Source organism: Homo sapiens, chromosome 1 (genome assembly GCF_000001405.40).
Source record: "Homo sapiens chromosome 1, GRCh38.p14 Primary Assembly".
Lineage (NCBI taxonomy): Eukaryota > Metazoa > Chordata > Mammalia > Primates > Hominidae > Homo > Homo sapiens.
The window spans coordinates 25,564,992-25,587,784 of NC_000001.11; the positions used below are offsets into that span (position 1 = coordinate 25,564,992).

At 53.6% G+C, this 22,793-nt stretch overlaps 1 protein-coding gene across 16 annotated transcripts in view, besides 8 other annotated features; it reads left to right on the forward strand.

Annotated features, from left to right (window-relative positions):
* The window catches only part of LDLRAP1 (low density lipoprotein receptor adaptor protein 1), a 46,795-nt gene that overhangs the window by 21,386 nt on the left and 2,616 nt on the right, over positions 1-22,793 (forward strand). For 3 of the 16 annotated variants that reach the window (NM_015627.3, XM_024446315.2, XM_017000994.3), the window contains exons 8-9: positions 182-216; positions 1,857-3,895. The exons of 1 other annotated variant lie outside the window; for it this stretch is intronic. In NM_015627.3, coding sequence (NP_056442.2) covers positions 182-216; positions 1,857-2,001 — 180 coding nt within the window. In that variant the 3' untranslated portion in view covers positions 2,002-3,895. Of the gene's footprint in view, positions 1-181; positions 217-370; positions 3,896-16,585; positions 16,743-20,243; positions 20,302-22,793 lie in introns of those variants that run through there. 12 more of the 16 variants (XR_946603.4, XR_007058621.1, XM_011541209.4 and 9 more) reach the window with 10 other exon arrangements.
* Positions 1,800-2,523: an enhancer, noted in NCBI's record as "H3K27ac-H3K4me1 hESC enhancer chr1:25893282-25894005 (GRCh37/hg19 assembly coordinates)". NCBI's record gives its function as "activates a minimal SCP1, AML or CMV promoter by ChIP-STARR-seq in primed H9 embryonic stem cells {active_cell/tissue: H9 hESC(primed)}" and the evidence as "EXISTENCE:reporter gene assay evidence [ECO:0000049][PMID:30033119]".
* Positions 2,524-3,248: an enhancer, noted in NCBI's record as "H3K27ac-H3K4me1 hESC enhancer chr1:25894006-25894730 (GRCh37/hg19 assembly coordinates)". NCBI's record gives its function as "activates a minimal SCP1, AML or CMV promoter by ChIP-STARR-seq in primed H9 embryonic stem cells {active_cell/tissue: H9 hESC(primed)}" and the evidence as "EXISTENCE:reporter gene assay evidence [ECO:0000049][PMID:30033119]".
* Positions 3,249-3,972: an enhancer, noted in NCBI's record as "H3K27ac-H3K4me1 hESC enhancer chr1:25894731-25895454 (GRCh37/hg19 assembly coordinates)". NCBI's record gives its function as "activates a minimal SCP1, AML or CMV promoter by ChIP-STARR-seq in naive H9 embryonic stem cells {active_cell/tissue: H9 hESC(naive)}" and the evidence as "EXISTENCE:reporter gene assay evidence [ECO:0000049][PMID:30033119]".
* Positions 8,986-9,853: an enhancer, noted in NCBI's record as "H3K4me1 hESC enhancer chr1:25900468-25901335 (GRCh37/hg19 assembly coordinates)". NCBI's record gives its function as "activates a minimal SCP1, AML or CMV promoter by ChIP-STARR-seq in naive H9 embryonic stem cells {active_cell/tissue: H9 hESC(naive)}" and the evidence as "EXISTENCE:reporter gene assay evidence [ECO:0000049][PMID:30033119]".
* Positions 11,547-12,468: an enhancer, noted in NCBI's record as "H3K27ac-H3K4me1 hESC enhancer chr1:25903029-25903950 (GRCh37/hg19 assembly coordinates)". NCBI's record gives its function as "activates a minimal SCP1, AML or CMV promoter by ChIP-STARR-seq in naive and primed H9 embryonic stem cells {active_cell/tissue: H9 hESC(naive and primed)}" and the evidence as "EXISTENCE:reporter gene assay evidence [ECO:0000049][PMID:30033119]".
* Positions 12,469-13,390: an enhancer, noted in NCBI's record as "H3K27ac-H3K4me1 hESC enhancer chr1:25903951-25904872 (GRCh37/hg19 assembly coordinates)". NCBI's record gives its function as "activates a minimal SCP1, AML or CMV promoter by ChIP-STARR-seq in naive H9 embryonic stem cells {active_cell/tissue: H9 hESC(naive)}" and the evidence as "EXISTENCE:reporter gene assay evidence [ECO:0000049][PMID:30033119]".
* Positions 16,559-17,407: an enhancer, noted in NCBI's record as "H3K4me1 hESC enhancer chr1:25908041-25908889 (GRCh37/hg19 assembly coordinates)". NCBI's record gives its function as "activates a minimal SCP1, AML or CMV promoter by ChIP-STARR-seq in primed H9 embryonic stem cells {active_cell/tissue: H9 hESC(primed)}" and the evidence as "EXISTENCE:reporter gene assay evidence [ECO:0000049][PMID:30033119]".
* Positions 19,299-19,862: an enhancer, noted in NCBI's record as "H3K27ac-H3K4me1 hESC enhancer chr1:25910781-25911344 (GRCh37/hg19 assembly coordinates)". NCBI's record gives its function as "activates a minimal SCP1, AML or CMV promoter by ChIP-STARR-seq in naive H9 embryonic stem cells {active_cell/tissue: H9 hESC(naive)}" and the evidence as "EXISTENCE:reporter gene assay evidence [ECO:0000049][PMID:30033119]".

Here is a 22,793-nt window from a genome sequence, read left to right on the forward strand (position 1 = left end):
CTTGGGCTGAGATGCTGGCGATGCACCCAGGCAGGAGGCCTGCCTGAGGCCGTGCCTCCAGGCGCCCACCCTGAGCTTGTGTCCTGAGTCCCTGTAGCTTACCCAGGGCTGGGACAAGCCCCAGCTGTGAGCATGGGCTCCCCCAAACATAGTTCTTATCTCCTGCTTTGTTTTCCCCAAGGAGCTGGATGATGGCCTGGATGAAGCGTTTTCGAGGTAATGCTAGCTTCCTGTGCTGGGTAGGGGGCCTGGTGTGCGTGGGCTGGCCCTGCTGCCCTTTCTCCTGGGGACCTTTCCCCTGATTAAGAACACAAGCCACTCAGACCCCCTCCAGAGCAACAGTCCCATCCCTCCACTCAAATGCTTCCAGGGGCAGGGAGCTCACTGGGGAGGAAACCCCTTCCAGCGTTGTCCAGAGCTGTTAGAAAGTTCTTACTGTTGAGTCAAAAACTATTCCTGGTGGCTGCTCTGCCGCAGTCTGAGGTGAGCGAAACACACTGCAGCTCAAGTTGATTTCCTCCGACTTGAGGAGGCGTGGCCTTCAAAAATGGGCTTTTTTTTTTTTTTACAGGCTTTGCTCCCTCCACAGGTCTGTGTTTATGAACAGGGGAAGGGAGAAAGTGTTTAATGAAGCTCGTGAAGCGTTCCATAGCAGGGAAGGTCAGGCACAGTGAGGAGGTGTTTTGGTATAGCCTTTGGTGGCATTTCCCCGTTTTCCCAGGGGCCATCCTTGTGGCCCCCTGCAGCTTGGGGACATGCCACTGAGAAGGCTGTGGCTGAGGAGAGGCCTGGGCAGGTCAGGGTTCCGAGCCCTGGGTCCCCGTCTGTCAGGCCTCCCTTTCTCACTTGAGACCCTCAGCAGCCTCCTACAGCCCTCCCACATCAGGGGCTTTGTTTGGGGTTGGAGTCAGCGATTTTTGGTCCAGCGGGTGGGGACAGAGTCAGGGTCTTTGCCCTCCTGCCTCCTCCTTCCTCTTCCTTGCCTCCTTCTTGCCAGGGACTAGTGGAAACCCCTTGGTCCAGCCTGGGGCGAGGGCGACAGTGACACCTTCCCTGCCTCACTGGCTGACGACACCTGCCCTCTGAAGAAAATCTTTTGTTTGCTTTCTCCACATTATTTTGAGCATCATGTGCCCTTTATTAACAATTTTGAAAATCAGCAAAGCATTAAACAGAAAGTAACACCATCCTGTAATCCCACAGCCCAGAGTTTTGGGCTTAATTCATGCTAATCCTATACATATACATTATTTTGCATTGATCAGCTCATCGTATTTGCATTTTGGGATCCTGATTTTTCACTTAACAGCGATGTGTCAGAAGCATTGCTCCAGGCTGTTAAAAGCTCCTCGTAAACACCTCTTCCATTGACTGCCTAACATTCTCTTAAGGGAAGCTGCTATAATTTACTTGACTCTCCCCTATTCTTTTGGACATGTAGGTTGTCTCCCTTTGTAAATTTATTTTTCGAACAGCACGGTGTTGACACAGTTATAGCCAAAGAATCTTCCGTGTTCCCTCCCACAGCTTGTTCCCCACCCCACCCCCACCCCCGCTGCTCCCTTTACCAGCCCCTTCTCCTCTTTCCTGGGCATGTCCTGACTGAGCTGGGGCACAGAGTGGGTGCTCTGGCCTCTCCCGGGGGTGGGTGCACCGCTGGCTGCCCCTGACTTTTCTGAGCTGTTTGACTCTCAAGGGGAGGTGCTTTGATCTGAGGTTACTCCACCTCCCCTGCACCGGGGGCTTCCTTCTTGGGCCATGTGCCCTGCTGTTCCCCACTGGTGCCCCCTCGCGTCTGACCCTGGGGCGCGCCAGCCCTCACCCAGGCTCTCGGCTCACACAGCTCTGCCTTCCAGGCTTGCCCAGTCTCGGACAAACCCTCAGGTCCTGGACACTGGCCTGACAGCCCAGGACATGCATTACGCCCAGTGCCTCTCGCCTGTCGACTGGGACAAGCCTGACAGCAGCGGCACAGAGCAGGATGACCTCTTCAGCTTCTGAGGGCCCGGGGCCAGCCGGACACAAGCGGCCCTGACACGTGATGGACCAAAGCCACCTGCTGCGGGGGAGCCAGTTCTGGGGCCCGCCTGCCACCTCTCCCAGCCCTCAGCATTGTCAGCCTGAAGATCAGAGCTGCAGCCAGTCAGGCAGGGGAGAGATTTTTCTTTTAAGCCCTGCTCTTTCTCTGAGAACCAAAAGATGCCTTGAATATTTATTCAGTGACTTCTGGCTTATGCTCAGAAGCCAGTCTGCGTCAGGCACGTCTCCTGCTGCGTGACATGTGCAGTGCTGTAATCGGCTCCCGCTTGCTCTCCTGGAGCAAGCTCTGCCCTGGCTGTGGGTATCAGGACTGTGACCAAAGCATTTCTAGTCCCTTCTCTCTTTCTAAGGACCCAAATTTCCCTGGGGGCATCCTGCTTCCTGAAAGCTGTTGGATTTCAGTGATTTTTCCCCCCACCCCCCAGCACAGGAGAGCACCCACAGCCGCAGAAGGGGAATGTGTCCTCCTGCTCTGCTTCCTCAGGGCCCAGCAGGCGGGGGTTTGAGCCCTGGACCCCAGGCTCTTAGAGACTAAGGGGCAGCTCCTGACCAAAGACGATACAGCTTGGCACTTTAAAGCATTAACAGCAGGTGTGACCCTGAGGGCTCCTCCATGGTGCTGCATTGAGTCCAGCTTTCCTTCTGCCCTTCCTCCAGGAGAAGGGGCCCAAGGTCCCCGTGGATGGTCTCCACCTGTGCTTGGAACCAGTGTAACTGGCTGCTCCCTGCTCCCAGGGACTGACACGGGGATCATCTCTGTGACCGCCCTCCGTCGGGCCCCTGCCTGCCTTCTCCCCTCCACGCAAGGCTGTGCTCTTCCTCTGGTTTCTGTGTGTCCGTTTGAGTGTCTGCGCCCCGCCTCCCCATACTTCCTGGGATGATGTGTGAAACCTGACACCTAGATTTATTTGGAAATATTCTATGACCACTTTACAGATGAGGAAACAGGCCTCAAGCGTGGAGGGGTAGAGTGAAGAGTAGAACCCAGGTCTGATGCCAAAGCTGCTTTCTTCTCTGCCTCCTCCTCACGCAACTCACACCTCCTTTTCTTCTAGCTTTGTTGTCCTCCCAGGAACCAAAAAACCCCAGCTATTTTCTGACCAAAATGTGTTTCATAACAAACCATCTGGTGCCTTTCCACACAGAACTGGCAGGAGCCTCGTGTCCTGCTAGCTGTCTCTCTTGTTGATTTCCGTGAAAATGCAAGTGTTTGAAGTCTGCTCATTCCGAGGGTGAAACAAAATCCAACCCTGTCAGAATCATGCTGTTCTCTTTGCTGACACTGTGACCCTGGGTCGGGACAGACCAGCAGCAATCTGTCTTTAGAATCGCTTTCCTTCCTCCCCTTTTGCCCCCGTGGGGCTCCCGGCATCCTGAAAGCCAGCAAAGCCTCCAGCATCTTTTCCATCCTGAGGTGCCTCCCAGTGGCCTGGCTTGTCGGAGCAAGTTTCATCAGCCCTAGGGAAAACACGGCCCTCCTGGGAACCTCCTTACCTGGAGTAACCGGACACCTTAGACGGAGGTGCCTGAGGGTGGGGTGGGATTTGCAGGGTCATTATCAGAACATGAGGATAACTTCCTTGCCCCTGCTCTGTAGCCACCTCCTTGGCACCGGCCTCTATTTGTCATAAGGCGGCGTGGGCGAGGCCTGACACAGGCCAGCCTTGGCACGAGGGGGGCCAGGGGTTCTGAGAAGCGCTGCCCTGTGAGAGCCACGCTGGCCTTCGTCTCCATCTCTGGTTGACGGGCTGTCCGTGTGCCTCCTGTGTGTCTGCAGACAAGTCTTGCTGTGCTTTATTTGTGAAACTTTAATGAGGAAAAAACAAATAATAAATGTTCTCGTTTTGAAACTCAAGCAACGCTCATCAGGTGGAGTAGACTGGCGGCAGCGTCCGGCGGCTCCTGCCCTTTGGGGATGGCAGCAGCAGTGACCACAGGCTGGGTGGGGCCGCGTGCCCAGGGGCAGCACTGAGTGGGGGTGATGGTCTTAGGTTCCTGGGGTTGAAGGCCCAGTGGGGCCCCCTTTTCACCCAGCAGCTGGGTGTGTGTGTGATGAGGTCACCTCTGGATGACTCATGGAGGCTACACCAGGGATCTGGTGCATCGGCTGAAGCGTCTGAGAGCCCCGGCGGGGGACTGTGGCCAGGCTGTGAGTCCCCTGCAGTGTGCATGAGGTTGTGTACGTGTCCACGTGGGCGTTTTCCACAGAGAGGATGTCCATTATTTCCATCACTTTTTGGATCCGCAACACTTTATCATTCCACAGACTTGCTCCGGGCTGAACGTGGACTGGGCCTGGGTCTCAGTACTGGGGACAGGGGTCCAGGCGTGGCCCAGATGAACTCAGGATGTGTGGTTTGGGTGTGTTGGGGGATGGTGGGAAGTATTTCAGTGTCTTGAGAGACTCAGGGTCTAGCCCTAGCTCTGCCACTTGGAGGCTGTGACACTTGATCAGTCACCTCTTGAGCCTTGATTTTCCCGTCTGTGAAAATGGTGCAATGACCTCCCCGCTTTTTACCACCCTGGGTTTTGTGTGACTCAGTGGTGACCATCATCACATTGTTGGTAGAACACTTGTGCATTCAGGTTATCTCAGAACCAAAGGCAACTGGAACTCAATATGTCTAAAAATGGTAAAGTAAAATAGTTAGCAACCAGTGTTAACTGAGCTCTTACTATGTGCCGGGTGTTGTGCTGAGCTCTGCACCATATTGCAACGGTTGTGCTGAGCGCAGATGGCAGATGGCATTAGCTCCCGTTACTGCTGAGGACACTGGGCTGGGAGAGGAAGGCAGCTGTGCTTCAAGTGCTGGGCGGGGCCACAGCTGAGCCGCCAACCTGTGTGGCCCTTACCCCGCCATGTCCTGGCTTCCCAGGAGCCCAGTCTGGCCATATGCTGCCCGAGACCACCTGTTGACCTGTGCGGTGACCCTCACAGAAAGGCCACTCTCTTCAGGTTCTTTCAGCCACTCTCCGGAGATTCCCCAGGCCTCTGCCCCTCAGCTGTGGCTTGTGGGGGTCCACTTGGACATGTATCTCTTTATCCCTTTGAAACTGGTATTTTAAGCGTCCAGAACCCAGAGGCAGAGCCCTCATATCAGCATCAGGCTGACTCCCTGTGAATTCTCAGTGGTTCATGGATGACTAAGAAATCCTCCCCTTTCTTCTTTCCCTCATAATCTGAAAAGACACCCAACAAGTTTATCTTTCGGTTTAAATTTGGCCAATGTCTTTAGTCTCCGGATGTCTCGGATTATGAATCCTGAGCGCCAGCCGTCTGCTCTTTCATGCATAAGGGATGAAGCCAGGGAGAACAAAGTCGCCTTTCAGATTTGACGTGACTTTCAGCTTCACTGGGTGGATGTTGGGGTCTGCTCTCCCAGGAAGAGATCCCATCCCATGTACATCTGGGGACTTTTCAACAAGCCTGGCTAGGGAATAGGGGCAGATTCACATCTGGGGGGCTGGCTTGGGGCCTGGTCTTCCTCCGGCCATTCCCAGGTGCTCATCAGAGGAGGTGCCCGTTTGTATATTAAGAAGTAACCCGGCCGGGCGCAGTGGCTCACACCTGTAATCCCAGCACTTTGGGAGGCCGAGGCAGGCGGATCACGAGGTCAGGAGATCGAGACCATCCTGGCTAACACGGTGAAACCCCGTCTCTACTAAAAATACAAAAAATTAGCCAGGCGTGGTGGCGGGCGCCTGTAGTCCCAGCTACTTGGGAGGCTGAGGCAGGAGAATGGCATGAACCCAGGAGGTGGAGCTTGCAGTGAGCCGAGATCGGGCCACTACACTCCAGCCTGGGCGACAGAATGAGACTCCTTCTCAAAATAAAAATAAAAATAAAGTAACCCTTGGGCCTGTTAGGTCTTTTGCACCTAACACTGGTGATACTAGTCCTTGCAACCTCACATGCTACCAGGTAGGTGGTCCTAGTCCCATTTTCCTGATGAGGCAGCTGAGGGTGAAGGAGGATCAACAAGTTGACCAAAGTCTCACATCCACTCGGGGATCTGGGATTTGAACCCTGCTCTCTGACCCCAGCGCTCCGGATTTCCACTGCACAGTGCCTCTCCGTGCAGATCAAGGCAAACCCCAACCGACCTGGTGTGCCCTGCTCTGCCTCGCCAGCAGCCCCAGCTACCACGGAAGACACTGGAAGCTGCTGGCCAGTGGGTGTCTCCACAGGCAGAGGCTGACTTCCTAGCTAGACACCAGAGCAGATCCCACCTCTTCCCCAGTGGCTGCCCTTTGGGGCCACTTCTCTGGACATGCCTAGTTTAGAACTCCACAGGGGTATGTCTCATTGCATTGAGACCCTGCTTTGTCCCCAGTGGCACTGCTCAGCCTGCCAGTGGGGCCCACAGTGAGCATTGGTGCCCCTCAGAGAAGGAAGCCTTCCTCTGGGAGGTGAATGCCAGCCTCGGAAGGGCAGGAAGGAGGGTGCACATCTTGAACACCAGCAGCATCCACACGTACCAGCTAGTTTAAGCTGCTGCACGGCCCCTGTGCTTGCACGTATTGTTAGCCCATTTTAGAGATGATGATACCAAGGCCTGTGGCGGTTACATGATCAGCCAGCCTCACACAGCTATTAGGAGGCAGGCCTGGGACTCAGAGCCAGTGTGTTCCCCACTGTGCTGGGTGGCCCTGCCTCTGCAGGTCACTTGGGACATTGGCAAATCAGGATGACCTTGCTTGCTTAGGAACTTCTGAACCCAGCCCAGAGTAACCTTAGCCAAGTGTCCAGCACAGAGGTACTGGATCAGATGGTGCGTTTGTGGCCAGGACAGATGTGGGCTGTGTCATGAATCCTTGTTGCCAGACAGCAATTCTGACTGCACCTGCTGAGCCCCAGCACGGCCTGTCTCAGGGTGACTGAGGCACAGCTGCTCTTGACCCCCTCGCAGTCCAGGGGTTATAGTTCATGGTGCCCTGGAAAGTCCCCGGGCATGAGCTGGGCTTGCAGTAGGCCAGCGGGACATTGGAAGTCAGAGCTGAGGTATGGCAGCTGGGGAAGCCAGGTCAGGCTCTTAGAAGAGGGGCATATTCCTGCTGGGCATCAAAGGAAGGGTAGAATGGTTGGCGACTGCATGTGCTAGCCTGGGAGCTCCCTGAGGACATGCCTGTCTGATTTGCCCCATGGCCTCAGTGCCCAGCCTAGCACCTGGCACAGAGTGGCCATCAGTGAGTCAGTTCATCAGGAGGGGAGAACAGCCTGGCTCCCATGAGAGCTGTGAGAAAGGGCAGCCCTGGCTCAGCAGGCAGCGCTGGAGTCCCTGCAGCCTGGGAGTCCACTTTGCCGGCTGTCAGACCCTTCCTGTGACAGCTCCCCAGTGTGCACTGGGTGCACTGGGCTTAGGCACTCTGGGTCTCCGTCACACACAGCCGATGGCATGGCATGCCCAGCCTGGTTTGGTAAAATGTTGTGTGGTCCACCCTCTGCCCCAACCAAGATCTTGGTTTTCATGCTGTCTTCAAAGTGAGATTCTAGAATGTTAATGCTGGGAGAGCCCCTGATGGTTCCCCAGCCCACCCACTGAGCTTATAATGGGGAGTTGAGACCTGCAGAGGGCACAGGACTTGCCCGGGACTCACAGGCAGTTAAGAGAGCTGGGATCTGAGCTGTATTTTCCACCGACTCCATGCCCAGTCCTCCATCAACCTGGAGTAAAGGAGAGAGAAGTCCCTCCCACTCTTGCTAGAAGGGGCCCATGTGCTTGCAGGGAACTGGATGTGATGTTGGTAAGAAGAGGCTGGAGAAAGGACCTTGGTGGATTCTTGAGCATGTAATGAGCACCAGCTCATCATCCGTCTCTCCACTGTCCCCCTCAAGGACGCTGAAGTCTCATCTGCAGCTCAGGCTGCTGGCCAGACACCTAGAAGAGGGGGCATGGAGCTGCAGTTCCGAGTGCAGCCTCTGGGGCCACAGCCGTCAGGACTGGCTTTCAATCCCAGACGGCCGATTTTTAGCCGCAGAAACAACTTAGTAGCCTGTATCTCAGTCTCCTCACCTGTTAAATAGGATAAAGGTGCAGTCCAAACAGGGGCTGCTTTGCGGGGCGGGGGGAGGTCAGATGGGGGTGGGGAAGACCAGTTTCTCCCCAGGGGTAAGGCCCACCCAGGGTAGCCAAGGTGGGGAGGAGACAAGTTGTGTCTTACCAGCTCCCCTGATGCACCCAGGTGCACACTCAGGCCCCGCCACGTTGAGACCACCACATTATGCCCTCAGGAAAAACTCAACAAACTCTACTGTCTAGTGAGGAAAGCGTTGCAGTCTAGCTGTTTCCAGTAGGAAGGGATTTAGTGAAGAGCACCAGATCACAAAAGCCCTGGCAGGGCGAGGGTGCAGGTGGTCCCTGCAGGGGCTCAGGGATCTGGCGGCTGCTGCTCCTGTAGGTCCCGGTGGCTGCATCCCGGGGCAGAGCTGGCCGGAAGCTGCTGGCAAGGGAAGTTGGGAAGAGGTGGTTTGCAGGCATCAGCCCTTGCGGCTCAGGAGGGCACAGGGAAGGGAAGGGAAATGGTGCTGAGATGCAGCAGACCCCCTGGCACCCCACCACCCCAACACTGTTGGGGGGCAGGGAGGGTAAAAGGAGCTGAGGGAGGTTAGCCCGGAGAAAACCTGGCTGCCACACCTATGTCGGGAGCTATGCCGAGGCTTTGCACACGTTACGTAATCCTTAGGACAGCCATGTGAGGCCATGAACTGACCTGATCGAGATGTGAAAAGCTAGGACAGCACCCCGGGGCTATTTCACACAGGCGGGGCCTGCTCCTGCCTCTCCCTGAGCCAGGCTCATTCATCCAATGCCCAGTGATTGAGTGCCCACCACATGCCAGGATGCATGCCAGGCGTCTGGAACATGGCAGCAAACAAAACAGCAGAAATCCCCATCCTCATGGAGCTGACGCTCCCCCAAATATGTATAAATATTTGTAAATACGTAAAAATAGGTGTGGTGTAAGCACTCCAAAGGAAAAAGGGCGGTGGGGGGAAGGGGAGTGGCCTGGCCGGCAGCGCTGCTGCACCTGGGGTGGTCAGAGTTGGACAGAGTGCTGGAGGAGGTAGGGAGGCCCCAGAGAAAGGGCACCTGAGAGGGCAAAGAGCAAGCGCAAAGCCCCAGGATTGCAGTTTGGAATGTGCCAAGGGCAGGAGGAAGTCTGAGGCTGGAGAGGAGGGAGGAAGGAGGTGGACTGGGAAATGGGCTCAGAGCAGGTGCAGGCCTGGACCACAGGGCGGTGGCAAGGCTCAGACCTGCTGTGCAGGGCTCAGTGTGGGGTCTCGAGGACACGAAGGCTGCACAGCCAGGGGCAATGCAGAGACTGAGGCTCTAGGATACTGAGGCTGTCATCCAGGGTCAAGCCCAAGAGAGAGCAACCTCCGGGCTTGCAAGCGGGCAGATGGAAGGTTGAAAAGGCAACCCCATGTCCTCCTGCTCTGTTGTCTGAGCGGGGGGCTTCCAGATTTGTTGAAGAAAAGGATGTGTGCATGGCCAGCTGCCTGGGTTTGGTGGTGGTCCCAAATCTGTGTGTCGGGAGCCCTGTGGGTGTCTGTGGGCCTCTGGCAGTAGCCTGAGTCAGAGATTGGTGTATCCCCGTGTGATGTGGAGGGCTGGTGTCTCTTGGTCCCTGCCAGCCGAGCAAGAGGCTGATGCAGCGAGTGTTCTGGGCATGCTATATCATTTCTCTGGGTGTGCATGAGTGAGCCTGTGTTGGCTCCGTGGGCCTGTATGTGCCAGGAGCGTGTAGACCTGAAGGTCTGTACATGAGTCAAGGGTGAGAGGCCTGTGTGTTTCCTTGTGCGTCTGTGGGTTCCTGCTTGTCCGTAGTGGGCAGCAGTGAGGGGTGTCTTTGACTTTGGCCTGTCATTGTCTGTTTCATGCTCACTTGACATTCCACAGCTCAGCTGTAGTTCTTGGAACGAATGGAAACAGACAGCACCCAGGACCCAGTAGGACTGGCCTGTGCTTCTTGGATACTTGGGTTCAGGGTCTCCTCCCCAGCGGTCTCTAACAGCTGAGGTAGGGACGACTCACCGTCCCGGTCCCCAAATGCAGTGCTTTAAACTCAGAGACCCTTTCTTCGGGCCGCAAGGCTGGACCAGGGCTCTCACTACCCGGGTGGGAAGACTGTATGATGTTTGGGCCTTGCCAGCCCCAAGGAAGAGTCAGATCTCTAAACCTGGGGGCCTCCTGGGAAAGCCAGGACTCCAGCACTGTGGAAAGAGCATGGAGGTAGAAGTCAGAAGGACCTGGGTTCAAATCCCACTTTTGCCCAGGCATAGGGGCTCATGCCTGTAATCCAAGCACTTTGGAAGGCTGAGGCAGGTGAATCACTAGAGTCCGGAAATTTGAGACCAGCATGAGCAACCTGGAGAAACCCTGTCTCTACTAAAAAAAAAAAAAAAAAAAAAACCAGCTGTGCATGGTGGCATGCATCTGTAGTCCCAGCTACTCAGGAGACTGAGGTGGGAAGATCACTTGAGCCTGGAAAGTCAAGGCTGTAGTGAGCTGTGATTGCACCACTGTACTCCAGCCTCGGCCACAGAATGAGACCCTGTCTTACAAAAACAAACAAACAAACAAACAAAAATCTCACTTTGTCATTTCCTAGTTCAAAAACCTTAGTCAAATGGCTGCTCCGTTTCCTTATCTGTAGAGGCGGGACCGGCGTCTTGGGCCTACTGTGGAGATTAAATGAGCACTGAGTATGTGCCCAGCCCTGGGCTAAGAGCTTTACACAAACGACCCCATGGGCTTCTCACAATAACTCTCTGGAATGGGTACAGGCCCCATTTTGCAGAAGAGGAAACTGAGGCCCAGAGAGATGGCATGACTTGCCCATGGTCACTCAGCTGGGAACTAGTAGAGCCAGGATTTGAACCAGGCAGTCTGACTTCAAAAGCAGCAGCATGAGGCTGGGTGTGGTGGCTCACGCCTGTAATCCCAGCACTTCGGGAGGCCAAGGTGAGCGGATCAGTTGAGGTCAGGAGTTTGAGACCAGCCTGGCCAACATGGTGAAACCCCATCTCTATTAAAAAAAAAAAAAAAATTAGCCGGGCATGGTGGCATGTGCCTGTAATCCCAGCTACTCGGGAGGCCGAAGCAGGAAGATCACTTGAATTCGGGAGGCAGAGGTTGCAGTGAGCCAAGATCGTGCCACTGCACTCCAGCCTGGGCAACAGAGTGAGACTCCTCAAAAAAAACAAAAGTAGGCCAGACGTGGTGGCTCACGCCTGTAATTCCAGCACTTTGGGAGGTGAAAGCAGGTGGATCGCTTGAGGTCGGGAGTTCAAGACCAGCCTAACCAACATGGAGAAACCCCATTTCTACTAAAAATACAAAATAAGCCGGGTGTGGTGGCACATGCCTGTAATCGCAGCTACTGGGGAGGCTGGGGCAGGAGAATCACTTGAAACCAGAAGGCAGAGGTTGCAGTGAGCCGAGACCGTGCCACTGCGCTCTAGCCTGGTCAACAAGAGTGAAACTCCATCTCAAAAAAACAAAAAACAAAATAAAACAAAATAAAAACAAAAGTAGCAGTATGAGACGGTGAAAGGAAAGCAGAGCGCCTGGCTTTGGGTGCCCGGCCAGTGGTGGCTGTTACTACTGAGGCTCAGAGAGATGAAGCAACTTGCCACAGGCCACACAGCCAGAAAGGAACGGGGCCAAGATTCAAGGCCAATCCTAACCCAACACACCATCCACTTTATCTTTCACAGAGGCTCTCTCCCACCCCATCCGGCCTGCCCTTCAGTGGAAACTGAGATGGGGCCCAGATTTGGGGTGGGACTTGGCTAAGGTCACACAGAAGGAGGCTGCCCCTCCTGATGTGGAGGTGGCAGCGTGGTGCCATCAGGCAGAGGCACTAGGAGTGGCCTGAGACACAGACCCAAGGAGGAGCCAGCGGTGGGGTTCAGGCCTGTACCTGCTGTCTCTAAGAGCAGAGGAGCTTCTGCCCGGTGCAGGGAGCCTGGGGCGGCTCTCCATGGCGATGTTCCTGCGAGCGTGGCAGTCGGTCCTAGCCCCACTTAGTCACCCCAGGCAGCAGAGACCCTGTGCCATCCCCGCATTCACCTCCTGAGAAAGATCGGGAGGAAGCATGTCCTGAACGCTGCTTTATTGCAATAAATTTGTGGAATCAGCTCATTACATTTAATTAGAATTATTTAATTAGAATCTTAATAAAAGAGTAGAGCAGGAAGGAGGCTGATGAACGGAGCTGAGGAGAGCCTTGCTGAGTGTGAGGAGCAGACCCAGCTGGGAGGTGGAGTGGGGGAGGGGCTGCCAGGATGCGAGCCTGGATGGCTAGGCAGAGGGGACGTGCCAGGACCACCAGGACCTGGGCTGGGCTTTCCCTGACCTGTTCCTTACCAGGTGGCCCTGTGGGCAGGTCCTGGGCTGGTTTCCTGCCCTCAAGGAACTCGAGGTTCATGCAGGGAACAGACGAGGAGCCAGACAGTTACCACGCCCAGTGCAGGAGGCAGAGTCACATGCCAGCCAGAGATGAGCGTCGAGCCTGGTGTGCGGTTAGGAAGGCTTTCTACAGCAGGGAGGCCTGCGGTGAGACCTCACTGTGTTGAAGTTAGACGAGGAGGGGAAGGGCTCCAAGCAGGTGTGAGGGAAGGCGGAGCATTTGAGGCACCTGGCGGGGACAAGACAGGGTGCATAGCAGAGGCCTGGCGCCGGGTGGCAGGCTCAGGTCCCGGCATCACCGTGAGTTGGCTCTGGCAAGTGACCTGGGCAGGTTATGCCACCCTCGGAGCCTCATCTTCCCCATCTGTAAATGGGGGTGATAGTGGGGCTCTTGTGTGGATGAGAGGAGCTGCAGAGAGCACTTGGAACAGTGCCTGGCCCACGTCAGTGCGTGTGCACCAGCTATTGGGACTGTTGTTAGGATTGTCGCAGTGGAGGTCTCCAGCAGGTCATCAGTTACACAGGTCGGGAGCTCAGGGGGCATCTGGGCTGGGGACGTAGCTCTGTCATCAGTGAAGCGGCAGGTGTGGGTGAGCCCCCCACCTCCATTTGCTCTTTCCTCATTCCCTGAAAAAGACAGTTTTGTTCAGAGATCTCACCCCAACAGGGCTCTGGCTCTTCAGGGAACACTGGGAGAGTTATTTCCTCTCTCTCTCTCTCTGTCTCTCTCTCCTCAGCACACAAAGAAGCGGGTGACCGTTGACTAAAGACAAAAATCAAGCTTTTAAAGCATTAAAATTAGTTTTATACAGAAGTCTTGCTGATGACTATAGACAGAGGCCTACGGCCCTCAAGCAGCCCTCCAGAGAGGGTTTGTCAGACAACTCCGGCACGGCATTTGAGCCCACTGCTGATATGCAGCTGGTGGAGGTTCGGTAGTGCAAAATCACATTGAAATTTGGGTGCAGGAGTCCATCTGGTGATAGATTACAGAGGCATCATCACTAACCCCGTTAGACATCATTACCTTATGTGTAGGAAAAGGCAAGGACTAGGATCGTTTGTCTTTTTTTTTTTCCTTAAGACAAGGTCTCACTCTGTCGCCCAGGCTGGAGTGCAGTGCAGTGGTGTGATCATGGCTCACTGCAGCCTCAACCTCCCCGGCCCAAGCGACCCTTCCACCTCAGCCTGTTGAATAGCTGGGACGACAGGCACACATGCCACTGCACCTGGCTAATTTATATATTTTTTGTAGAGATGAGGTTTCACCATGTTGCCCAGGCTGGTCTCAGACTCCTGAGACTCAATCAATCCATCCACCTTGGCCTCCCAAAGTGCTGGGATTACAGGTGTGAGCCACTGTGCCTGGTGTGGGGCCATTTATCTTTTAAAGAATATAGTGACTCAGGTGAGAGACGTGAGGGTTTTGTCTTTAAAGCATCTTTCTGGAGAGCTGTACGTTGTCACAGAATCAGGGGCTTGTGAAATTATGCTGGCATGCAGAAATGAGAAACATGGCTTCTTAAATTTGTTACTTTGTCTTACGTGACCCATGCTACCCCTTCAGAGGACCAGATCTGGGATGAAGCTAACAGTATGCAGTATGCCACCTCTCCATGTGTTGTTTAAAGCCTTGACTTGTAGCGCTTGTCGATTTCCTAGTATAAATATGGCCACCATGGCCAATGTCAGGCTACCAACATGACATCACTTAACCTGGAGTTAAGATGCACACAGTCTGTTCTTGCAAGGCAGAAAGACCCAGCTCCAGCACCCCACTCGATGAGGCCAGCCCTGAGAACAGCAGAGCTGGGAGTGAAAAGCACCTGCACACAGATCTGCACCAGGATCCACCTCCACGTGCGCAGCTTTCTGTTACTTGAGGCCAAATGCGTCCCACACCCTGCAGGGCTGCAGGGCAAGAAGAGAAGAAAACCCAGGAGCAACCCAGAGGAACTGATAGGATTTAGGCAGCAGGCAGAGGAAGAGGAGGCGGCGAGCTCAGCTGCCGCTGTCACGTGGTGATGCTAAGGGTCAGATTTTACATTTGGTTTTTCACAGACTTAATCCTGCTGCCATCAAAGATAAGAGAATTGTTTTCAGCACAGTTATAGAAAGTTCCTAGGCTCCAGTCCATGCCTTGAGCCAAGAATGTAGGGATTTAAGCTTGTTATTCTTTTTTCCTTGAATCGCCCAGTGCCACAGAAGCAGCTACCCCATCTCTGAAATCTTCGTGCCATTCATGTGTTCAATAGCAGTGTCGACTCAGACCCTCGAAGCTCTGCCTTCAATGGCACTTTTTTCCCAGATGGCCACAGGCCATAATTTAATTAATTAATATAACTTAATTAGCTGTTTCACCACTACATTACCACAGCTGCTAGATTCTCATCCCTGAACGCTAACTGGATTTTCCCTTCCTTCAGCTCTGACTAGACCAGATCATCATTTCCCCAAGGGTATGGAGCTCGAAACCCACCCCCTCCAACCAATTTCCAAACCCGCCAGGTTTCTGAGTTGAAAACAATGGAAACTGACCCTCGCTAATTTAAGCAGAAAGGAACTTATTGGAAAGACACCAAGGAGCTCAGGCAATCGGCTGGAGAAGTGGGCTCAGAGAGAGAACAGCTGTCGAGGGAGGCTGGCAGTCAGGACACAGGCAGGGTGTCCCTACAGAAGATGTCTGCTTCTGTCTGTTCTGTCTGTTCTCCGCAGATTCAGGGTAGGCTCCTGGTGGATGGAGTCGGTGTCATGCCTGCTCCTAGCTGACTAGGGTGAACATCAGCTTCTGCATGGGAAGACAGAGCTGTCTCCTGTAAGGTTCACTAGGCTCGAGGCCGGGCACAGTGGCTCCTGCCTGTAATCCCAGCACTCTGGGAGGCTAAGGAGCACCACTGCACTCCAGCCTGGGTAACAGAATGTCTCTAAAACAAAAAAATTAAATTAAAAAGGGGGTTTGAATGCTGAGTGAGAAAAAAACAAAACAAAACCAAAAGCTAGAAATTATTCACCTTGGCTAGACACTGTGCTAACATTTTGGCTTCATTATCTCAATTTAATCTTCACAATTATTATTATTTTTGAGACAGGGTCTCACATTGCCCAGGCTGAAGTGCGGTGGCACAATCACAGCTCATTGCAGCCTTGACGTTTCTGGGATCAGGTGATCCTCCCTCCTCAGCCCCCCAAGTAGCTGGGACCACAAGTGTGAGCCACCATACCTGGCTAACTTTTTAATTTTTTTTTGTAGAGATGGAGCCTCACTACATTGCCCGGGCTGGTCTCGAACTCTTGGTCTCAAGCAGTCCTCCTGCCTTGGCCTTCCAAAGTGCTGGATTACAGGTGTGAGCCACTGCACCTGGCCCACAATTATCTTTCAAGAGGTGTTGCTTTTATCAACCCCATTTTATAGATGGGGACCAGGCTCTGAGTTTCTTCATCAGTAGTAACCCCAGGCTTTGGGGTACTGTGAGAACCCGGCAGGACACCATGAATCCCGGAAGGCTCAGAACCAGGCTCTGGAGGAGTTTCCCTAAATTGAGGCCAGCCTTAGTCTGTTGGCCTTAGCAAAAGCAGGAAGGGCCTGTCTAGACTGAGTACTTCCTAATTCTAGATGTTACTGCCATTGGCCTGCTTGGGGGCCGGTCCTGGACCAAGAGGGTGCCGTGCTGGGCTGGAGAGCTTCTCACCAAAAGCAAATGGGGTGTGAGGAACATGTGTTCTCTGCCGGGCCTCAGCACATGGGCATTCTGTCGTGATGCTTGCTGTAGCCAGCAGCCTGGGGCGGGGGCACTGCTGAGTAAACTAGGAGGGCAGCTGAATTCTGAGAAGCAGAGAGGTAGGTATGGGCCCCTGGCCTCTTGAGCCAGGGAGAGGAGAGGGTTTCTGAAAAAGAGAGATACCAAACAGGGCCCAAGCACTGACACAGGAGACTCCTGTGATGGTTCAGGTCTCCCCCATCAGACCAGGAGTTGCTGAATCCGGGGTGGTCTGTTTCCCTCTTCAGGCTGGAAGCTCTGAAGGGCAGAACTCTCGCTCCTCTGACACATCGGGAGCTCCTGTGTGCAGGGCCCTGTCTCCCACCTTGGGCTGAGGCTTCTAACGGCAGGGCGTCTCTTCCCTCCAACTAGGGCACCTGAAGGGCTAAGTGTTCCAAGACAGCAGTGTCAGCAAAGGCTGCGCAGATTTGAGGAGTGGGACCGGCAGAGCTGGATGAAACCTGACTATGCTGAAGGGGAAATGGAGACCCCGGGAGGGGCAGGGACCTGCTGAGTGCCTCCCCCAGGCAGTAGCTGACCTGGACCGCATCCCGGTACTCCTGCTGAGGTAGGAGGATTTGGGGTAAAGAGACAAAGTGTGGCCTTAGGAATACAGCCCCCAGAGCCAGGCAGGAGGGGGCAGCCCCGTAGGGCTCAGGTTCAAGCATGAGGCTGCCAATACTGCCCCTTGGAAGCGCCTCTGTTGTTCTGTCCTGGATGTTTGAGTCCTTGGCCAGCTTCCTGGGCAACGGCCTCATCCCGCTGAGATGGACAGATGTGCACAGCTGGGGGAGGGGCTTGGTGAAATCCAGCCCCACCCAGCGCAGGCCTGGGCTTCCCAGGGGTGGAACTTATCTGGGTTCTGGTCCTGATCTCTGCCTTGGCCCTGTTGTGCAGCCCTGGGCAGTGCCATGGCTTCCCCTTGGGCCTCAGTTTTCTTGTCTCTCAAATAAGGGAAGCTCTTCATTCTTTCATCAGACATTGACTGAGTTGGTACGTCCTTGGCCCACTGACTCCAATATTTGGGGATGCATTATCTGGTTCTAAGATACTTCCCCCGCTCTATTTTAAAATTTATTTCAAAAAATTATGGTAGAATGGTCTGGGCGTGGTGGCTCACGCCTGTAATCCCAGCACTTTGGGAGGCCAAGGCGGGCAGATCACTAGATATGGAGATCGAGACCATCCTGGCGAACACGGTGAAACCCCGTCTCTACTAAAAATACAAAACTTAGCTGGGCATGGTGGCATGCACCTGTAGTCCCAGCTACTCAGGAGGCTGAGGCAGGAGAATCGCTTGAACCTGGGAGGTGGAGGTTGCAGTGATCCGAGATCGTGCCACTGCACTCCAGCCTGGCGACAGAGCGAGACCCCATCTCAAAAAAAAAAAAAAAATTACCATTTTGACTTTTTAAAGTATACAGTTCAATGGCATTACATACACTGACATTGTTGTACAGCCTTCCCCACTGTCTATCTCCAGAACTTTTTCATCACCTTAGACTTGAATCCCCATCCTTTTAAAAATAACAGCTTTATTGTGATATAATTCACATATCATACAACTCATTTAAAGTATACAATGAGCCGGGTACGGTGGCTCACATCTGTAATCCCAGCACTTTGGGAGGCCGAGGTGGGCGGATTACCTGAGGTTAGAAGTTCGAGACCAGCCTGGGCAACATGGTGAAACCCCGTCTCTACTAAAAATACTAAAATTAGCTAGGCGTGGTGACGCAGGCCTGTAGTCCCAGCTACTTGGGATGCTGAGGCAGGAGAATCACTTGAACCCGGGAGGCAGAGCTTACAGTGAGCCGAGATCGTGCCACTGCACTCCAGCTTGGGGGACAGAGTGAGACTATCTCAAAAAAAAAAACAAAAATTCCATTCCACTCTCTTTTTGTTTGCATGGTTTCTGAGAAGTTGGATATAATTATCTTTGCTCCTCTGTAGGTGAGGTGTTTTTTTTCCTTTGGCTTTTTTGGGGATTTTTTTTTTTTTTTTTGGTGGAGTCTCACTCTGTTGCCCAGGCTGGAGTGCAGTGGAGCCATCTCAGCTCACTGTAACCTCCATCTCCCAGGTTCAAGTGATTCTCGTGCCTCAGCCTCCCGAATAGCTGGGATTACAGGAGCCTGCCACCATGCCTGGCTAATTTTTTATACTTTTTTAGTAGAGATGGGGTTTCGCCATGTTGGCCAGGCTGGTCTCGAACTTCTGACCTCAAGTGATCTGCCCACTTCAGCCTCCCAAAGTGCTGGGATTATAGTCGTGAGCCACTGAGCCCAGGTTTTTTTGGGATTAAAAAAAATCTTTGGTATTCTGTTGTTTGCAAATAATATGCTAGGTGTAGATTTGTTATTGTTGTTGTATTTATCCTGCTTGGTATTCTCTGAGCTTCCCGGATCTGTAGTTTGGTGCTTGACATAAATTTGGAAAACTTCTGTTATCATTGTTTCAAATATTGCTTCCATTCCTTTCTCTTTGTCATCTCTTTCTGGTATGCCCATTATATGTATGTTACACCTTTTGTAGTTTCCCATCCCTATCCATTAGAAACCCCTATGCCATCCTCCACCATGTCTCTGCACTCCCAACCCCCGAGCCTTAGGCAACCACTAATCTGCTTTCTGTCTCTGTGAATTTGCCTGTTCTGGACATTTCATATAAATGGATTCCTATGACATGTGTGGTCTTTTGTCTGGCTTCTCTCGCTCTGTGGGATGTTTTCAAGTTTCGTCACGTTGTAGCACATGCCAGTGCTTCGTGTCTCCCTCTCTATTTTTAACATCTGGCTTCTCCAGCACAGGGGCTGAGAGAACAGGGGCTTGACGGGCAATATCTCCTTCTTCATCCACCCAGACCGTGCTCCTGTCTGTGGGTTGAGCCTGTCAGCTGCCAAGGTCCTCCGCGTGGCAGGTGTCTGAACGCTGGCTCTGTGGGAACATGTGTGTGCTCTTTGGAGGTCCCGTGGGGGCCTCAGCCTCCACAGTCACCTGATGTGGTTATCTGGCTCCTAGATAACCTCTTCCAATGCCCCCCAACCCCCTGCGCTTGCCTGCAGCAGTCCGCCCCATGGTTCCTGTTGCTGGGGCCCCTTGTGTGGTGGGTGTCTTCTTGGTTGGGTCCCAAAAGATGGTACAAGTTCAGTTTTTTTTTTCTGTGTTCTCTGCTGGCCTCAGCAAATGGCAGGCATGTGGACTGCTTTATTGCCAGCACCTTCCACCCTGCCATTTCTCTCCACTACTCTCTTCCCCTGCTCAGACAGGCCCAGGGACAGAGCAAGTTGGCCACACCAGCAGAGGTCCCCAGGAGGGAGATGCCAGTCTTGCCTCTCAGCAGGGACCTTCCTACCTCCATAATAACATGTGATTTTCTTGGTGCCTCTCCCACTGGGCTTGGTTGAGAGGGGTCTTGGGTGGTGGGGAAGAGGAGAGAAAATCCACAGCTTCCATATGAAGCTGAAGCTTCATATCCCTGAAGAATCCCTTCCCCCACGTAAATCTAGAAGTAGAGGGATGGGAGGGCCAGTCTTGCCTTCTCGGCAAGCCCTAGAGGGAGCATCTGGCCCTATGTGTTGGGGCCTGTCTTCAGGATTTGGGGTGTTCTGCAATTCTTTACCCTGGCTCTGAACCCCAGCTGTCAATTCTGGGGCAAATGGAAAAGTTCCTGCTGCTATCCTGTTCCACCTATAACCCCAGCCTCATGTTACAGTCCTGGCAAGTGCTACAAAGGGCAGGGCAGAGAATGTTCTGATCTCATCTGGGGGTGCTCTGAGGAAGTGACTTTTGTAGGTCAGACCAGGTCAAAAGAATGGCATGTCCCAAGGTCCCAAAGCAAGAAGCAGTGTGGCACATGGGGAGATGGGAAGACCGGTGGGTGTGGGGTGTTGAGACTGAGGGCAGAGCGGTAAGAGTTGAGGCTGGCGGTGGCGACAGTGGCAACAGCAACATTTATAGATCATTTCTGTTTATGCATTTCTTATTTAATAATCGCAAAAGAGGAAGTAGCTCTGATTATCTCTCTTTTGTAGATGGAGGTTCACATCTTGCTCAGAGAGGTGAGGCGATTCACCTGAGAGCACGCAGCAGGTGTGTGGGGAAGCCGGGTTTTTTGTTTTTTATTTTTTGTTTTTTTTTTTTGAGACGGAGTCTCACTCTGTCGCCCAGGCTGGAGTGCAGTGGCACGACCTCGGCTCACTGCAAGCTCCACCTCCTGGGTTCACGTCATTCTCCTGCCTCAGCCTCCTGAGTAGCTGGGACTACAGGTGCCTGCCACCACGCCTGGCTAACTTTTTGTATTTTTAGTAGAGACAGGGTTTCACCGTGTTAGCCAGGATGGTCTCAATCTCCTGACCTTGTGATCCGCCCGCCTCGGCCTCCCAAAGTGCTGGGATTACAGGCGTGAGCCACTGTGCCTTACGGAAGCTGGGGTTTTAACCTGGGTCCAGAGTTGGAACTGGCCTCTGGGCCTATTTGACTCTCCTGTGCTCCGACATCCCAGCAGACCCAAGGAAGGGGCAGTCTGTCCTGCCCCTACCCACCCCTTCTCCCTTTCTACTGCCTACTCCTGGGAGCCTGTATGAGGGGCTGAGGTGGGCATGAACAGGTCAGCCTCTGAGACAAAGGAGGCCTGATTGGCAAGAGAAGTAAGGCCTTTGCTGTCAGCAGGCCTGGGTTTTAGTCCCCACACTGCCCCTCACTGGGCTGTGTGACTCTCGGTCAGATTCTTCCTTTTTCTCTGATTGTCAGTTTCTTCATTTGTCAAATAACCCACCCTCCTTGAGAGTGTCGTTTTATTCCCATTTTACAGATGGCCCAGAGAAGGGAAGCAAGACAGTGGCACCCAGGAGCCCAGCACCAAGCCCAGGGCTGTTTCCCCTACACCTGGCCATCATCTTTCCAGGGGTCTGGGCAGTGCCAGTCCAAGGGGACTAATTGTAGGCAATGTGGATGGTTTTTGTAGAGGCCCAGACTTCTAAAGACAGGCGGTCCAGGGGCTCTCATGATAGGAGAATGGGAATGGCCAATCCAAAGAAGAGAAAGCGCGACCAAGAACTGGTATTCAGATTGGGTGGCCCAGGGGCTCTCATGATAGGCTGGCTGGAGAGAGTTGCAGACTGAGCCCCTCCCTGTCCCTGCACTCATCTCTGGGCCTGCCTGAGAGCTGATTGTGCTGCGGCCGCATCTGATCTGGGCAGACTGGTCCCTGCAGACACCAGCGTCCATCAGGGCCACAGCATTTCCCAGGGCCACATACCTAGATCTCTGCTTCCCACGTGCGTGTGCGTGTGTGTGTGTGCATGCACATGTGTGTGTGCCTACATGTGTGTGCGTATGTGTGCATGTGTGTGTGTGTACGTGCGTGTGTGTGCGTGTGCGCGCGTGTGTGTGTGTGTATGTGTTTTGGGTCAGGGAGGGGGCTGAGTTAGGAAGTCTGGAGCACAGCACTGCAGCAGGGGTGGGGGCTCTGTTGAGGTGTGTCTTTGCCCTCACTGGGCTTCTCCTGCCTCACTCCCACTCTGGGCACAGCTCACACTCCAGGCCTGAGCAGATGGGGGCCCTGACCAGGGATGCCTGAGCCCTGATGGTCCTCAATCCACTCTCAGATGCAGATTCACATCTCTGAGCCCCAGCCTGAGCTGAACCCTGACTCTAGTTCTAAGCTGAGACCCAAAGCTGACCCTAGAGTGAGCATGACCCCAGCTCCATGCTTAGCCATGATCATAGTCCCAGACTGAGCCCTAATCCTGGTTCCAGGATGGATCCTCAATCTGGTTCCAGGCTGAGCCCTGAACTTGCTCTAAAACTGAGCCCTCGTCTTTTAGACAATTCTTTGAACCCTGTTCCAGGCTGGGCCCTTACTATACTCTAAACTCTAATCCTGGCCCCTAACTAAACCTTGACTCCGATCAGAAATTCTGTCATGATTCACTTCTATTTTGTTTATTTTATTTTATTTTATTTTTGAGACAGAGTCTCACTCTGTCGCCCAGCCTGGAGTGTAGTGGTGTGATCTTGGCTTGCTGCAGCTCCAGCCTCCTGGGCTCAAGCTATCCTCCTGCCTCATCCTTCCAAGTAGCTGGGACCACAGGCATGTACCACCATGCCCTGCTAATTTTATTTTTTATTTTGTAGAGACAGGGTCTTACCATGTTGCCCAGGGCTGGTTCTGAACTCTTGGCCTCAAGTGATCTTTCTGCCTCAGCCTCCCAAAGTGTTGGTATTACAGGTGTGAGCCACTGCATCCGGCCATGACTCACTTTTAATTTCAGTCCTGACCTCCGTCCTTAGCTGATCTGTGCCTGTGACCACAGTCTAACCCCTAATTTCCGAACAACAAACCAACCGTTAACCTCAAACCTAGCCCAAATGGGAGCGCAAGATCCCTTCCAATGGCAGGACTTGTGCTGGAACCAGAAGGAAAGTTAGTGTTTCACCGAGCGGAGCTGTGGAAACTGTGCACATAGGCGTGGAGTGGGAATGTGGAGAATGGAAATGGCCAACCCGAGAAGAGAAAGAGTTACTGAGAACTGCTATCCACGGTGGGAGTGGGCGTGGCGGGAGGACTCTGGGTGCAGTCA